Source organism: Homo sapiens, chromosome 15 (genome assembly GCF_000001405.40).
Source record: "Homo sapiens chromosome 15, GRCh38.p14 Primary Assembly".
Classification (NCBI taxonomy): Eukaryota; Metazoa; Chordata; class Mammalia; order Primates; family Hominidae; genus Homo; species Homo sapiens.
In genome coordinates this window covers 99,693,662-99,712,019 of record NC_000015.10, presented here as the reverse complement: position 1 = coordinate 99,712,019, position 18,358 = coordinate 99,693,662, and the positions used below count along the sequence as shown (strand labels likewise).

The window sequence follows — 18,358 nt, the reverse complement described above, 5'->3', positions numbered from 1 at the left end:
TGCTCTGGCCCTGTGACAGGGCACAACATCGCTCATCCTCGCAACACCTCTAAGGTGCAAGTCGCACCATCCCCATTTTCCAGATGAGGAAATGAGGGGCTGGCTGAGAGCAGTAGAGGAGGACGCAAACAGGCTGTTCCCCGGGCCTGGGCTCTGAGCCCTTTCCACTTGCTTTTCCAGGACTATTTTTAGTGCATTCATTTAGGATGCTCAGGACAGGCCTGAGGGCCAAATCCTGTGTAGGCAAATTTCCCTGAGATACTCTGCTGCTTTTTCCATGACATAATTCCTAAGAAGACCACTGACAACAATCCTCACTGTGCAGTTACTTCAGAATGGATGAGGGAAAGGGACTGCTGAGCTCAGGCTCTCTGGGGACTTCCTGGGCAGAGGCTAGGGGCCTGGGGTATTCCTACTGCCCAGAGCACAGGCAAGGCAGCCAGTCTTCATGGAGGCCAGCTGGGTCTGCTATGTTGTCCCCTCTCTTGGGACACTCTCCTCCAACTGCTCCATGGGTCTGCTGTCATCCTGGTTCCACAAAAGCCCTGTTCTTTCTCCCGGCTGTCAGGGATGTCTGGCCTCATCTGGGCGCCACTGTAAATCCTCTTTGCTTATATCCTTACACCCTGCCCATACGGAACATTCTCTTTGTGAATGAGGTTTGGTGTGTGCATTGGGCTGGGATCAGTCACACAAATCCTATGGAGCCTGACTGATATATAAGACACCCTGTCCCCAGTTTTCCTTCCCTGTGGCCCAGGGAGAAAGCAAAAGCTCCAGCTTGTCTTCCTATTCTTGTCTACAGATACTCACCAAAGCAGTCAATGGCAAGGGTGGCAGGGAGGCCTGAATGCCTACAGGCTGCCTTTCAAGCAGTGCAGCCAGAGGCAGGTGCTTGGGAGCAGGGGTGCAGTAGGCAGCTTCATCACTGGTCAGAGGGCAGAAGGATGGTGCATGCGGGTGGTATCTGTGCCTTCAGACCCCTTCAGATCCTGGTTGAGTCTCTCTACCTCAGGATGTCCCTATGGGAGAAGCCTTGCTCCCCAAATCCCTTCAAGGAATGCCTAGTTTGTCAGTATCCAAGCTACTGTCTAGAGCCATGTAAGAAAATATTTTCTCCCGACACTTGTATCTACCTGAAAAGGAATCATTACAGGATTCCTCACACGAAACTCAACAGAGCAAAAGGCTGTCACTGATAGGAAAAGAGAGTGTGTAGGCCAGGAGTAAAGATGCAGGGAAAACTTCTAGTTACTCACACAAGAGAGCTGAGGGCTGCTTGTCCTAGGTGGTGCTGCTGCCAGGCCGACACCTGTCCCAGCGACAGCATTCCTGGCGAGTTGAAGCCTTGAAGGGCTGACAGGTCAGCGCTGGTCAGTGAATAATCTACAAAGGAAGACAAGAGGGCTCTGCATATGATGGAAGGTCCATACGGAATCTATTTTTTACGTAGCTACTGCAAAAGTTCCTACATTGAGGCCAGCCATGCTGGCTCATGCCAGTAATCCCAGCACTTTGGGAGGCCAAGATGGGCGGATCACTTGAGGTCAGGAGTTTGAGACCAGCCTGGACAACATGGTGAAACCCCGTATCTGCTAAAAATACAAAAATTATCCAGGCGTGGTGGCGCATGCCTGTAGTCCCAGCTACTTGGGAGGCTGAGGCAGGAGAACTGCTTGAACCCGGGAGGCAGAGGCTGCAGTGAGCCGAGGTAGCACCACTGCACTCCATCCAGCCTGGGCAACAGACTTCCTCTCAAAAAAAAATAAAATAAAAAGTTCCTACATTGAGAGAAGCCAGATACTTCACAACAAAACAACATACATGTGGGTCTAAAATCCGCAAAATCTTTTCTTGGAAGATTTACAGGATCTAGCAATATTTCTTTGTCTGGGATGATTCAAATAAGAGGCCATCATTAAAGAGTGTTCTGTACAATTGTTACTTTAAATATGCCTGCCACTACCCTTTGGAACAAAGAGAAACACTCAACCTCAACCAGAGTGAGTTTGAATCAGCAAGTCTTAATGAAGCAAGGGGTTGGGGGACAGGGAATAGGGGACAGGAAAGACAGAATCCCTACATGGGGTGCCAAGCTCAGTGACATCATTACACAATTAGTAAGCGCATTTGTTTAAAGTACCTAGACTGTCGCAAACTCCCTGACAGCATGCAAGAGTTTCAACTTCATGAAAAAACTCGGTGTCCTAGAGTATACCCAGCTCATATCATATGAATGCTTCAGTCGTAATCACTGGGACCAAGATTTAGGACGTTAGTTATCACTCACACGGGGAGTTATTTCAGCTCATCATTAACACTTGTCTTTCTCACTTGGTTCCAAAGAGAGGTGGCAAAACTCTTCTACTTTTATCTTCTTTCTCATGTCTCAAGAGAGGTGTTTAAAGAAATTGGTCTTCCTAGTGAATTAACATTTTAAAAAAGGAACGGAGTTGAAGCGACACAGCTGGTGCTCAGGGCTGTCCTGACTCTGCCCTTGTCATTCTATACACTCCCATGGGCTGGGGCAAGGACCCGTCACACTGACGCCTTCCCCAGTGCTCCCTCCGGCCCACAGTCTCCTTCGACCTCTAGATCTTTTAAACGACCTAGTGCCATGTCCATTTGGACGCCACTCCAAACGCCACACATCTGACATGGCCCATCCTTTCCTGCAAACCTGTTCCTCCTTAAGTACTCTTAGTACATGGCACCAACATGCACCCAGCAGCTCGTGCAGAAGCCCATGGGTGTTATCCTTGCTACTTCCCTTCCCTCTCACTCCCAACATCAATTTCCAGGTCTGAGCAATTCTATCTGCTCTCTCTCAAGCCTGCCCAGGTCTCACCATCTCTACTGCCACCTCTCTAGTCTATGCTATCAGCACCCATTGCTTGGACCACTACAGTAGCCTCTGATGTGGCTTCCTGGCATTGCCTTTTAACCCTATATACAGCAAAGACATCTTTTTAAAATAACAAATATGGTCATGGCACTCCTCTACTTCAAAAGTTTTTTATGGCTCCCCAATGCTCTCCGGACAGTTTCCAAAATCCTTGACATAGTCTACAAATCATTACTTACCTCTCTAGTCTCAATTCTAACCACCCACGCTCTGTCCCCATTCCTTCAGCCCCGTCCCGCCCGCAAACTCCTAGCCTTTGTACAGGCACACCCTCTCCCAAGAGCACTCTGCCTCCTCTGCCTGGCTGAGTCACGCATGTTCCTTCCTGTCCGAGCTGAGACACAGCCCTTGACACAACTGCAGCAGCTTATCCCTAGAGCTGTGTGTCTTGTGCCTTCCCCCCAGGCTTCACTGCTGACTGCACTCCTGCATTTCCAGTGCCTGGCACAGTGCCTGCCACACAGCAGCTGCCTGATAAATATTTGCTGAATAGATGTGGAAATAAGTTAAAAACAACATGGTAAACTTCAAACAGAGTAAGTGTTACGAGAAAGAGAAGAAAGATAAAGTCGGTCAAAAGGTGGCATGAGACTGACGCTAAGCGACTGATGATTTTGAGAGCCTGCCTCCATTTTTATATGCTTTGGTAATTTCTTTTATACTTTTAAAAAATAAATTCCCAATTCAATGGCATTTCTAAAAATAAGTATAGTGGAATTTCTAAGTATACTGAAAAACCTGTAATGAAACGGTCAGTAAACCATAATCTGACACCCAGTTCAAGCTCCCTCTTCTCAGCCAATACACCTTTGAACAGTATAGCTTTGCCCTCCCTTCTCAATTCTCAGAGTATAAATTCACAATCACAACAATTCAGGACTTCCCCTCCACGGTTACCCACTTAGGTATGTCCTGCCTCCTCACTTGGAATAAACTTGGAGAAAGCTATGTCCCTAGTACAGTCTCTCACAGAGCAGGTGATCAATGCGTCGAAACAGAATTTCTATGAATGCTTCATCCCTGGCTTTACTCTGGAACCTTGTTCTGTGCAAGGCACTAATAACAGGCTATGATTCACAATCCCTAAGATAGTATGCAGTTGACAAATTTGGGCATTATTTTTCATACTAACGGTTGGAAAAGTAATGGATATTTCCTAAGAGACTTTTTTTTTTTCAATAAAACCTTTTATTGTTGATTCTGTTTTAAAAGAACTTCTTAGAATTCAAGTGGCAATCAAATGTTATCAACGCTCTGTCCCCTCACGTAGCTGCGGACAGCAGTTTCAAAGTTCTGTGCCAAAGCATTTACCCTGAAGGCTAAAATCAGACCATCTTTACCACAGTCTACTTATGACACTCAGGAGAATCATAATAACTTCTCTGCATTGCAGTCTCTGAGTAATGGGCAAGGGAGAATTGAACTACTGCCGTCTTCCTCTGAAGCATCAGGTGTTTGGCTCAGCTGATGAGAAAGCGAAACCACATGTGTTTTCCACTCCTTCTTAGATTGGTAAATTTAAATGAAACCAGCTGCCCTCGATTCTCCATACAGTCTGCTTGGCTAAAAGCACTCCTACGATCACTGTAATATTCTTAAACTTTCCTAATACAACCCCAAATTAGGGCATTTTAAGATGAAATGCCTAAATAAACATAAATGAAGGAAAAGCTCCCCTCAAAGGCAGAGTGACTGGCTCCGAGGAGAAATCAGAACAGCCCTTGTTTTGCCCCTCAGGTGCACATGACATGGACCAAGCTAGTGGTTACAGGGAGGAAAACAGCCTGTTCGACACAGCCAAACGTCGGCCACCTCCTGAAGTCTCAGGTCCAAAGGGATTCATGTCTTTCCCAAAGCAGGTTAACACAGCATAAAGACAAACATCTTATTTTAAAAGCCTGGAAAAGCGTGATACTGTATGAAGAGAAACTACATCAGCAATACTCAAGCAACAGGCTGCTCCCCTCTTGGCTTGATGCATGTCACCATTTTGCTATCATCCACGTGGCTTTGTGTCAGGGGTTAAGTGAAAGTTCACACTGGAGAAGCCGGAATAACTTACTCATCGCACTATCCACACTATCCATTTTGTTTGTAATTTTTTCAAGGCTAGCACATTGAAAAATACATCCTAATTTAAATCTAAAAAACTGGAAATAGTTTATTTCAATAAATATACTTAAAAAAAATCACAGAAGCACACGTTGATCACAAAACAGAGAGCGGTAAAACCTACGGAAGGCACCAGAGCAGGCTCACCAGTGTTGTAGGCAGTCGGCATTGCTGAGTACACAAGTCCTTGCGGAGGCAAGCTTGGGGTTGTCACAGACACGACTGGGGTAGCAAGAGGTTGAGTGGCTTGAGAACTACTGATCCTCTGGGTATTCTGTGAGATCAAAAAAGAGAAAATGTGTTCTGATGTGGTATTTATGTTGACTTAAAAATCACTTTCAATTTAAGTGACATTTTTCACAGTTTCATATGAATGTCATTTTCTGAAGCACTGATGATGTGAAAACTTCAAAAATACTAGTGAGAATAACTAAATATTTAATTTGAAGGGTCCTATTTTTACATTAATTCTTTTAAAATAGTTGATTAGTGTCAGACACCCCACGTTAAAATAGGAACTTCTGTTACAGGCATTAGCACTTCTATTTGTTGCACAAAATGAGGACTTGATGCCACTACAAATACTGTCAGACTCCCCTAAATGAAGTATGTGTAGGTTTTAAATACCTGATGATGGCAAAGGTCATCTGTATATATAGGGATTGTACGTCTATGAGTATAGGAATCAAAACTACTTTTCTTTGCGGTATTATTTACGTGTTAACACGGTTTGAAGTCATGGCTTATTGGGTGCAGCTTGTATTCTTATTTCTTTCTCTCCAATCATGCAGTTGACCTATTTTTTAACAACAGATTCGGACATGTATCCCTTCATAGTCCCCTGGCCTTCTGTAGCAGAGGCTTTGAGTAGAGAATTTTGAATCAAGTACTGCCGACAGGGCAGTGGAAGAGCAATATTAAATGCTTTTTGCCAACTGGATGCATCTGTGTAGCATCCTATCCATGCTGGGAATGGATAAAAAAAATTCAACTATTAAATAATCCAGTTAGTCTAAGACAGTCATTGTCCTTAACGTGTAGGAGTACGACAGAAGCAGTTTCTCGCCAAACTGGCTTAAGGTAACGGTTTTTGAAAATCAAAGATCAGAGGAACACAACAGACTCTGTGTCACTAGCACATAAGAAAGCCACAGCACAACTCTATTTGTTTTTTATAAATTATGTTACAGCCTGATAACTGACATTCGGGGGTCTGAGCCAAATCAGTAAAGTATAATTCAGTGCCTTTGAGATTATGAAGAGTTAGAATGTGATTCCATTTTCTCTATCACAATTTTCAAAAGGGTACATCAGACAAAAAGGCCTTTGGCTAGATGTAGACACTTACAAACATTCGATGAGGATCCTGATCTCAGTTTATTTCTTTTTAATTTCTACTTTCTAACCTAGGTTAGAAGATGTGAGAAAGATCATGTGGATGTGGATGTATTGCCTGAGTTTCTGTCCCAGATTCACCATTTCCTAGGCATTGGGAAAATAATTTGACCTCTCTGAACTTCTTCATTGTCAAATAAAGAAGATATAGCAATCTTTGTCCTGGCTGCCTTGCACAGCTACTGTGAGAATCAAATGAGGTTACTATGTCAGAAGTGCTTTCATAACTGAAGTACTACACAAATATAAGATAATATCCTTATTGTCCTAAGAAACCCTCTGTCCCAAATTTCTATATAACTGGTGGGAAAAAAGATACATATTTTTATTCCTTCTAATCCATAGCCTAGTCTACTGCAGCTTTCATGAAGTCAAGTTGTTCTAGTATTGCTCGGCTTCTAAAGGAATCTGTCGCTGGTCTTAACAGTACAGTCTTTAGTGCAGGCCCCAGGGCACCTGTCCTTCTGCACTTCGGATCAGAGTCATCCACAATTATACTTTAGAGCTCAAGGCAAGCTGAACAACTTTCTAAGTTGTAACGGACTGTGCTTCTGATTATATTTTGGTTCTGGCACATAAAGTTCTGCATTTTTAATTGATTAAGTTTTAAATAATATAAATGGCTGTTTATAAGTTTTTAGGTATGTATTTTAAAGTCTTCAAGGACCTAATATATTTATCTCTGAGGTTCTGTAATTACAGATGTACTCTGAGGAATGTGGAAAATCAATGTATGCCAGTTCGGAATATATTTTAGTCTCAGCATCAAGTTTATAAATTTAATGACTTTTCGAGATAGAGATCTACTTTGGACTTAATTTCTTCTTTAATATTTAGTCTGGAACTTCATAAGTCCAATCACTAGGTGAAAGAATACAGTATGACATAGTTTGGCCTGGACCCTACCTACTCCATGGCATCATCTTCATGCAATCTCCTGGCATGTCTTCAAAAGCAGTGAAGACTTCAAACACTAGTTCCACTCATCTAAGCTCCTCATCTCAACGGCACTGAGTTCTACAAGAGTGAGTGATTTTCAGAACCACAAGAGGGCAGTATAGTGCTAGATAATTCATGGACGCATTCACAACTCCTTGAACAGTGAGGTCTAACCTAAGGTGAATTATTTTAGCTTGAATTATAAACTCTCATTTACTGATCATTATGGTATCATTAAGTAAAGTGTTTCTCCAAAAGATATTCATAATATAATTCAAAACATTTACAGCTGACTAGAATATTTCAGTTGGCCAATACAAAACTACACCCAAAACTGTGAGTGATCACAAAGCTAAATAAAGAACAATCTCGTATTTTAAGGGGAACAGATAACCTTCTTTGAAAAGAAAACAAACTGTGCAAAACACACCAGCATGCATAAACATGGAATATTAAAACCAACGGATGCCTTCCTCCCCCATGCTTTCATGCACTCTTAACCTTTGTCCATGCTAAGAAACATTTTCAAGTTTTTATTCCCCTTAAAGTCCTTTAATTAGCAGCTGACTTTGAAATTATATGATGACTCCTGTGAGGTTTTGGTTTTAGTTCCTAAAGAAGAAATAGATCAACTGCAAGCTGCTTTTAGTCAAGTTTATTTTCTAGAGGAAAAGCCAACAGAAAACGTTTGTTTTGGAAAAAGGGCAATAGTTGCTTTTAAGAAAAGAGCGCCTTCTGATAGAAAAGTAAACTTATATACACATTCAATTACAGACATTCCTTTTAGTAAACAGGGAACCCCCTTGTGGTTCAGGCTGTATCATGCAGGATGAAATAATTCCAACGCTGAAAAAGGTGACCTCACCAAAAATGATGTAATCTTTTTGAAAGAGAAACAACACAACATCGTGTGTTACAATCTGAGGAACTTCGAGGGTGAAGTCATTTTCTAAAAATATTTCAATAATTTGGAGAGCTATATAAGGTATTTTGTATCTTTCCTTAAAAAAAAAATTAACAAGTATCCTATGCTCATGGACAGCTACTGTTTTTAAAGGCTCTATTCCAATGTTCCCTCCAACAAATAAAATGGGTCAACACATACAATTATAAATAGAAAAACTAGAGTCTGTAGTACCAGTAGATTGCTTTATTCAAAGTGTTTGAATAGTGTTTAAAAAAATTTGTGTAACAAAGGGAACATTGGTTAGATAACAACACGTAAGAGAATTAGTACTTTCTACATCTTTTTCAACTTCCTTCAAGCAGAAACCCACACTCACCAACTCCAATTCCTCTTCCTCCGACTGTACTCAGCACATAAGAGGGATAAGAGAGTTACTAAGACTGTTGGTACTCACAAACAAAATATTTCTTTAGAAAAAACATATTTGGACACTAGCAGCTGTCTGGAACTCTAAAGAGACGATTATATACACAACAGATAGAAATATAAATTACTTGTCTCTACTTGTTGAGTTTTCAAAAGACTAGAAAAATTATTTTAAATTCTCTAGGGCCAGTATTCAAAGACACCCTCCTACCCCAACTTGGTCTGCTCTCATGCTGGCCTCTTATACATAGTCATGCTACTGCAACAGTATTTAAAAGGGGTTCCTCATCATGCTATCGATCTGTATTTGGAACTGTGAGAATATCAACTCTGTACTTGTAACTCTGTATCTTAATCACCCTACTATTACCCCACCTGGTGATACATGTTATCTATCTCCTACTGAATTCTGCTTCTTGGCAGAAAGAAACTGCTGTATGTTTTATTTCCCGCAGGAGCTAGCAGTTATAAAACAACAGGAACACAAACATTTGTTAATAAATACATGAGTTTTAAATACCAGTTTTATATATGTTTATCATTTGCAAATATATTTTCATGTGAATAAAATGACTTCAATGGAGAAAAACCACATATTTGAAGAAAATGAGACTGAAGGAGAAATGAATTCATAAGTCATGTAAAGAAAAGAAATAAGGCTGGGCACGGTGGCTCACGTCAGGAGTTCAAGACCAGCCTGGCCAAGATGGTGAAACCTTGTCTCTACTAAAACTACAAAAATTAGCCAGGTGCGGTGGCAGGTGCCTATAATCCCAGCTACTCAGGAGACTGAGGCAGGAGAATTGCTTGAACCCGGGCGGCAGAGGTTACAGTGAGCTGAGATCACGCCACTGCACTCCAGCCTGGGTGACAGAGTGAGACTCCGTCCAAAAAAAAAAAAAAAAAGAAACATTTTTGCTCCTTTTCTCCATAACATTTAGAAAATATTAACATGCTAGAAACAGTCTAATCAGTTTTTACTTGTTTTACTTGAGTAAGTTAAGCTTCTCTGTCAGTCTGTGAAAAGTGTCATTGTAAGTGCCACTGATACATGAAGCCCTAATCTGGAAGAAGGTTTCTCTGTAAATGGTGTGTGTAAAGTAGGTGGGACCGATTACTTACTCTGAAAAACAATCACTTGATCTACAACTGCTATCTCCAATGTGGGCAAGATGCTATTCAACTGTTTTGTTATAGATATCTTTACATATCTCCAAACACAAGGTACACACCAAAATATACTGTCTAACATTATAGCTGTGTATGTGTAAAACATATGGTTTTCACTTTAATATACAGGAATAAGCGTGTAAATAGTTCATACGACACATTTTGAGTTTTCCATGGAGATCCTTCATGCTCTCCTAACAATCAGACATAACTTTATTAAGCAATTGCTAAAATGCTTAAATGGAGTTTGTCTCTAAATTGGCAGTTTACTAACAATTCTTGTAAACATTTCTGTACCCTACATGACATTTTGTAGAGTTTATTTCTGAAAGACAGTAGCAAGTATTGCATATCCAGTACCTGAAAGGTGAGCTATGGGACCATCCTAAATGCCATTTTTTCTTGGCTCCCTTTTGGGGTGTATTTCTTTGTTATGTATGTATGTATATATTTTAAACTATTTATTCTGAAATAATTTTAGACAGCATTTACAAAGAGAGCTCCCTCACATCTCACTCAGCTTTCCACATTGTTAACATCACAAGGAAATACAATGCAGTTGTCGAAACTAATAAAAATAATACAGCACCAATTAAAGCTTTGGACTTTACTTGGATTTCACCAGTCTTTCAACTGATGTCCTTTTTCCTGACCCAGGATCAGATCCTGGATCCCACAAGCCTTTAGTTCTCACATCTCCTTCGTCTCCTCTGCTCTGTGACAGTTCCTCAGTCTTTCCTTTTCATGACCTTGACAACTTGTTTTGCATGACCTTGACAACTTGTTTTGAAAGAGTGCTGATCAGTTATCTTATAGAATGTCTCTCAATTTGGGTCTGATTTTCATTCATAATCAGATAGAAGGGCATGGATTTTTGCAAGAATACCACAAAGAGACATGGCTTTCTTAGCATGTCATATTGGAAGGCACATGTTGTCTTTATGTCCCATTACTGGTGATGTTAACCTTGATCCTCCGGTTAAGGCAGTGTTTTCCAGGATTCTCTTATTTCTAATTCTCTAATTTTTCCCTTTGTAAGAAATGAATATTGGGGAAGAGACATTCTGAGACAAAGCAAAATAGCTTTTTACTTAAACTTTTTGCCCACTTATGTTAGCATTTATCCACTGACTTTGCCTGCAACAATTACCATTGTACTGTGGTGTTCTAATGCTGATTTACTCTCTCTCATTCTTTCTACATTTATTAATTAGTTATTTTCTAAGGAAGAGTTGTCCCTTTTTCCCCTTATTTATTCTATCATTTATTTATATCAGTAATGGACTCAATGTTTTTTATTCCCTGGGCTATAATCCAATACTATTGTTATTTTGTTACTCAAATTGTTCTAGTTTTGGCCACTGGAAACTCTTTTGAAAGGCCAGCTCCCGTGACTTTTGATACGCACTTTCTTAACCTCTGACAACCCCGGCTCATCCCGTTTCCCTGCCCCAGCTCTACAACAAACCATTTTTTTCCAAGCAGCCCTGAGTCCTTGTATTAGAAAATGGTGTTCTGAAACTAAAATCTGAGCACCAGGTATGTTCAGTTACTGGATGCTATTGCCTCACAGACCTCTCAGCAAACAGAGCTAGGAAATATATGATGTATACTAATTCATATGTACACACAACTGTACCTTTTTTGTGTGTGTGTGACAGGGTCTCGCTGTGTCAGCCAGGCTGGAGTGCAGTGGTACAATCATAGGCCACTGCAGCCTCGACTTCCTGGGCTCAAGCGATCCTCTCACCTCAGCCTCCCAAGTAGCTGGGACTATGGGGGCATCCTACCACACTCGACTAATTTTTGTATTTTTAGTAGAGACGGGGTTTCGCCATGTTGGCCAGGCTGGTCTCAAACTCCTGAGCTCAACATCTGCCCGCCTCAGCCTCCCGAAGTGCTGGGATTACAGGCACGAGCCACTGTGCCCAGCCAGACACATACGTACATATGTGTGTGTGTGTGTGTGTGTGTGTGTATATATACACACATATATACGTATGTGTCTGGCTGGGCACAGTGGCTCATGCCTGTAATCCCAGCACTTCGGGAGGCTGAGGCGGGCAGATGTTGAGCTCAGGAGTTTGAGACCAGCCTGGCCAACATGGCGAAACCCCGTCTCTACTAAAAATACAAAAATTAGTCTCCACTAAAAATACAAAAATTATATATATATATATACACACACACACACACACACACACACACACACATATAAACTCTTACTGAATCCTTCAACTATAACCCTGAAACACAGGCTCATTCTAGACCCCACCCCCAACCCCCTGGGTTATCTGCAACTTTCTCCTCCAACCATGAGAAACCTGGCTGCCTTTATCTACAATGTCCATTTGTTTATTTACATTTTATATTTATTTATATGTTCAACCCTTTGTGTTTGTGTATGTGAGGGATGAATTTACCATCTAGAGCACAGTGATTTGCTACAATTTCGTTGGTCTCTAACCTTACAGTATCCAGTCAAAAGTTTCCAAAGTTACTTAGACCAGGTTCTTGCTTCCTCACCCCTTCAATATCATGTTACTTATCTGTAATAAAGTTATATTCATGTGTGACAATATGCATTCCATCTTGGGCTCCCCCGGAATCTTTTTTTACTAAATTGCATTTAGTAAAAGTCACTCTTTGTAGGTACAGTTTCATGAGTTTCAACAAACACAGACCCATGCATCTAACAAAACAGCATCACACAGATTAGTTCCATCACCTCAAAAATTCCCTATTAACCCTTTATAGTCAACTCCTCTCTCCACTCCCAACCCATGGCAGCCAGTGAGTTTTGCATTTTCCAGAATGAAATATAAATGGAATCATACACTACTGCTTCTTTTACTTAGCAAAATTCACTTAGGATTCATCTGTATTGCTGGGTGAATAAACAGTTTATTGCTGAGTAGCATTTCTTTATATGGATGTACAGTGTGTTTATCCATTCATCTGTTGAAGGACATCTAGGCTAGTTTCAGTGTTTCACAATTATGAAAGATACGGGTTTCTTATAAGTATAGTTTTCAATTCATGTGCGTAAATACTCAAAGAGTGGCATTACCGGATTGTACAGCAAGTTTTTTTTGTTTTTTTTTTTTTAATTTTTAAGACAGGGTCTTGCTGTGTTGCCCAGGCTGGTCTTGAACTCCTGGGCTCAAGCAGTCTTCCTGCCTTGGCCTCCCAAAGTGCAGGGATTATAGGCATGAGCCACCCTGCCTGGCCAGCAAGTGTATATTTAAATTCATAAGAACTGACCAACTCTTCAAAGTGGCTGTACCATTTTGCATTCCAAAGATATGGGAGAGATTTTCTGCTTTGCATCCTCACCAGCATTTCTAGTTTTTGCGTTTTTGTTTTTTTTTTTGAGACAGAGTTTCACTCTTGTTGCCCAGGCTGGAGTGCAATGGTATGATCTTGGCTCACTGCAACCTTTGCCTCCTGGGTTCAAGCGATTCTCCTGCCTCAGCCTCCTGAGTAGCTGGGATTACAGGCATGCGCCACCACCCCTGGCTAATTTTGTATTTTTAGTAGAGATGGGGTTTCTCCATGTTGATCAGGCTGGTCTCGAACTCCCAACCTCAGGTTATCTGCCTGCCTCAGCCTCCCAAAGTGCTGGGATTACAGGTGTGAGCCACCGCGCCCAGCCGTTGCGTTTTCTTAAATTTTAGCCATTTTACTAGATGTGCAGTTATATCTCATTAGGTTTTAATTTTCAATTCCCTAAGCCTGATAATATTGAGCATATTTTCATACACTTATTTGCCATCCATGTATCTTCTTTTTGAAGTATGTGTTCAGATCTTGTGCCCTTTTAAAAATGTTTTCTTACTGTTGGGTTTTAAGAATTCTTAAAATATTCTGGATACAAACTCTTTATTGGATATGTGACTTGCAAATACCTTCTTCTAATCTGTAGGTTGTCCTATACTCTCTGAACAGTGCCTTTCACAGAGCAAAACTTAAGTTCAACCTCCAATACATCAGTTTTTTCTTTATGGATCCTGCTTTTTGTGTTGGATTTTCTCCTCTAAATTTCAGTTTCCTGTTTTAAATTTGGGTCTATAATCCAATTTTAGTTAATTTTTTAATAAAGTTTGAGTTATTTTCAGACTTTGGGTTGTTTTTGTTTTGTGTATGGATGTAGAATTGTTTCAACACCATTCGTTGTAACCACCATCCTTTCTCTGTTGAATTGCCTTACTACCTCTGCCAAAAACCCAGCTGAATATATACGTATAGGTGTAAATTTTCTGAGCCGTTTTGTCCACTGATCTATGTGCCCATCCTTTTGTCAATATCACACTTTCTGGATTACTATAGCTTTGTAGTAGGTCTTGAAATCGGGTAGTAGTAGTATTTTTTTAAAATTTTGTTCCTTCTTAAAATCATTCTAGCTATTGTAGTTCGTCTTTACCTATATATTTTAGAATCAGCTTGTTAGTAACTACAAAAGAGCTTGCTGGGATTTTGAAATTGTGTTTAATCTACAGATCAATCTGGGAAGAAATGACATCTTGACAATACTGAGTCTTGAAATCCATTAACATGATGTATCTATCTATTCATCTAGGTCTTCTTTCATTTCTTTCATCAGTGTTTTGCAGTCTTCAACATACAGACTGTACATATTTTGTCAGAATTTTACCTAGATGTTTCTTTTCCTTCCTTTATTTGGGGTGTTATCATTTTTTTTTTTAAATTTCAAACTCCAATTGTTCACTGCTGGCATATAATCGATTTTTATATATTAACTTTGTACCCTGCAACCTTGCTAAACTCACTGATTGGTCCGAGGAGTTTTTTTTGTAATTTCTTTACACTTTTCTACATGAAAGAATCTATCTCCTATGAATAGAGGAAGTTTAATTTCTCTCTTCCCGATATATATGCATTTTATTCATTTATTTTTGCCTAACTGTACTGGCTAGGACTTTTACTACCATGGTAAATATGACTGGTGAGAAAAAAAAATATCATTACCTAGCTCCAAATGCTAGAAGACTGAATGCTTTCCCCTTATGAAGTATTTTAGCTGTATATTTTTTGTAGATGCTCTTTATTAAGTTCCTTTCTATTACTAGTTCATTGAGATTTTTTTTTTTAAATGATGAATAGATGTTCAATTGTTAATATACTGATTATACTAATGAATTTTCAAATGTAGACTCAGCCTTGCATTCCTGGGATAAAACCAACTTGGTCTTGATGTATTATCCTTTTTATATATTGCTCAATTTACTTACTTTTTACTGAGGATTTTTGTGTCTAGAGTTCATGAGGAATATGGATTTGTAGACTTTTTTTCTTGTGTTGGCTTACTTTGGTTTTGCAGCGGGGTAATGCTGACCTAAAAAAATAAGTTGGAAAGTGTTCTCTCCTAATTTTTTCTGAAAGAGACTGTGTAGAATTGGTATCACTTTACATTTTCCTTTCTTCTGCTTGATTGGGGTTAAGTTTGCTCTTCTTTTTTGAGTTTCTTAAGGTAAGAGCTTAGATTACTGATTTGGGATCCCTCTTTTCAAATATAGGCATTTGTTGCTATAAATCTCACCTCATCACTACTCTAGTTGGGCCTCAAAATTTTGATGCTGTATTTCCATTTTCATTTGGCTATATGTATTTTTAAATTTCCTTTGAGATTTCTTCTCTGGTCCTTGGGTTAAAATATGTTGTTTAATGTCTAAATATATGGCCATTTTCCTACTACCTTTCTGTTACTGATTTCTAGTTTGATTTCCTTATGGCCAGAGAATATAATATGCCTGATTTCAATTCACTGAAATTTGCCAGTTTGTTTCCTGGCACAGGATGTGATCTTGGTGAATGTTCCATGTGCACTTGTGAAAAGTGTGTGTTCTGCTGTTGTCGAGTGATGTGTTCTATAAATGTCTCTTAGGTCATGTTGGTCGAGTGTTGCTCAAATCATCTAGATCCTTACTGATTTTTCTGCCTACTTGTTCTATCAGTTACTGAGAGGGATATAGAAGTCTCCAACTACAATTGTGGATTTTTCTACTCACCTTTTAGTTCTATCAGTCTTCACTTTATGTATTTTGAAGGTTGCTGTTAGGTGCATACACATTAAAGACAGTTATTTCTTGGAAAGTGGACTATGTCACGTCCCTCCTTATCGCTGATACTCTTCCTTGTTGTGAAGCTTATATTGTCTGAAATTAATAGGTCTGCTTTAGCTTTCTTTTTGGTGTTTGCAATGGTAAATTTTCTCCCTTCTTTTATCTATGTCTTTATATTTAAAGTGGATTTCTTGTAAGCAGCATTTTTCTTTTTTTTTTTTTTGAGACGGAGTTTCACTCTTGTTGCCCAGGCTGGAGCGCAATAGCATGATCTTGGCTCACTGCAACCTCCGCCTCCCGGGTTCAAGTGATTCTCCTGCCTCAGCCTACCAAGTAGCTGGGATTACAGACGTGTGCTACCATGCCCAGCTAATTCTGTATTTTTAGTAGAGACAGGGTTTCTCCATGTTGGTCAGGCTGGTCTCGAACTCTCGACCTCAGGTGATCTGCCTGTCTCAGCCTCCCAAAGTGCTGGGATTACAGGCATGAGCCACCACATTGCTTTTTAAGAAACACACACACACACACACACACACACACAAATCTGACAATCTTTTAACTGACGCTTTCTCACCACATTCAATGTGATTACTTATATGACTGGATTAAAAGCTACCATTATCTTGCTTTTTGTCTTCTTTTCTCCCATTTCTTGGGCTACTTAGTAGAGCATTTTTTATATTTCTATTTTATCTCTTCTACTGACTTATTTATACTTCTTTAAAATTTTCTTCTGTAGTTGCACTAGGGTTTATAATATACACCTTTAGTTACCTTGAGTTCATCTTCAAATAATATTTACATCATGTGTAGAGTCAATTCCTCCCTCCCATCTTTTGTTGTCATATATTTTATTTTTACATGTGCTACAGAAACAAAATACAGTTACTATTTTTGCCTTACATAGTCAGATACCTTTTGGAGCAATTAAAAAGAGGGAAAGCACTCGGATCTTGGTTTCTTTCATTCTCCATAAAAATAATGTTCCTTGGAGAAATGCCTGATTCTAGGACTGGGGCAGAAAATACACAAGATAAGCCTAGAATATATTATAGTGCCGGAAAATAAAAAAGCGCCTGCTCCCCCTGAAAAAAAAAAAACCCACAAAAATAAGGATATATCAAAGGGACATAGGAATCAAGTAGATAGCCCTCAAAAGCTGAAGCTAGAACAAAGCAACAGAAAAACGTGGTATTGTATTATAAACCAAAGTATTAAAATAAATGCCCACGAGTCCATATTGATAGAAATAAATGGTTGAATAAATGAGAGAGAAGAGATAAATCTCCCGTGCAGAAGAATTCCAAATAATTTATGTAGATATCCTTCTCTTAAGAAAGTGAAGCCTTAACTCCCCACTCCTTAAAAGTGTGGGCTGAACATGGTAATTTCCTACCCAAAGGCTACAGTATGAAAAGCGGGAGAAAGAGTAACTTCACAGAAAAGAAACCTGGTAAATACCTGTTAAACATCAGCCAGGTGACCAAATGAACATCAGCAATAGTTATGACGATACAGGTTGGTCATCCCAAATCTGAAAATCTGAAATCTGAAATGCTCCAAGATCTAAAACCTGTTGAGCACCAACATGACACTCGCATGTAGTACTCATTGGATCATTTTGGATTTCAGATTTTTGGATTTGGGATGTTCTACTTATTAGTATAAGGGAAATATTCCAAAACTTGAAAAAATCTGAAATCTGGAATACTTCTGGTCCTGAGTATCAGATAAGGGATAATAAATGTAGTAGGCACTCTTGATATGATGTGATGAAAACGGCATCTTAATTCTATGGCCTACCTCAGTCAAACCAACAACCACAGTATAAGCATGAGAAAAACATCAGACAAATCTTAACTAGAGACATTCTATAAAAATACCTGACTAGTACTCCTCAAAACTGTCAAGGTCATTAAAGCAAGGAAAGTCTTAGAAACTCTCACAGTCAAGAGGAGGCTAAAGAGACATGATTGCTAAATATAATGTGGTATCCTGGATTGGATCCTAGAATAGAAAAAGACACAAGGTTAAAAATAAGTAAATCTGAATAAATTGCGAATTTCAGTTAATAATAACGTATCAGTAGTGGTTCAATAGTTGTGACAAATACACCATACTAATGTTAATAGAAAAAATGATGTGTGGGGTGTATGAAAACTTCCTGTACTATGTTTGCAATCTTTCTATAAATCTAAAATTGTTCTAAAAATAAAACGTTTATAAAATGCAGGGAAAACCAGAGTTTACTTATTTTATCTTCATTTATTCCATTTCCACTGTTCATTTCTTTGTGTAGACTCGAGTTTTTGCTGGGATCACAGTCCTGCTGAAGGGCTTCCTTTAACATTTCTTGTAGAGCAGGTCTGCTGGCAATAAATTCCCATGACTTTTGTTTGAGGAAATCTTCATTTCTCAAAG

General features: G+C 39.5%; 1 protein-coding gene across 78 annotated transcripts in view; it reads right to left on the bottom strand.

The window, feature by feature from the left end:
* MEF2A (myocyte enhancer factor 2A) overlaps window positions 1-18,358 on the bottom strand; it is a 151,072-nt gene that overhangs the window by 4,469 nt on the left and 128,245 nt on the right. For 47 of the 78 annotated variants that reach the window (NM_001400049.1, NM_001400057.1, NM_001400064.1 and 44 more), the window contains 2 exons: window positions 5,165-5,291; window positions 1,260-1,386 (listed from right to left, as the gene is read on the bottom strand). In NM_001400049.1, coding sequence (NP_001386978.1) covers window positions 1,260-1,386; window positions 5,165-5,291 — 254 coding nt within the window. Of the gene's footprint in view, window positions 1-1,259; window positions 1,387-5,164; window positions 5,292-8,634; window positions 8,659-18,358 lie in introns of all 78 variants that reach the window. The other 31 variants (XM_011521572.3, NM_001400036.1, XM_011521579.3 and 28 more) reach the window with 2 other exon arrangements.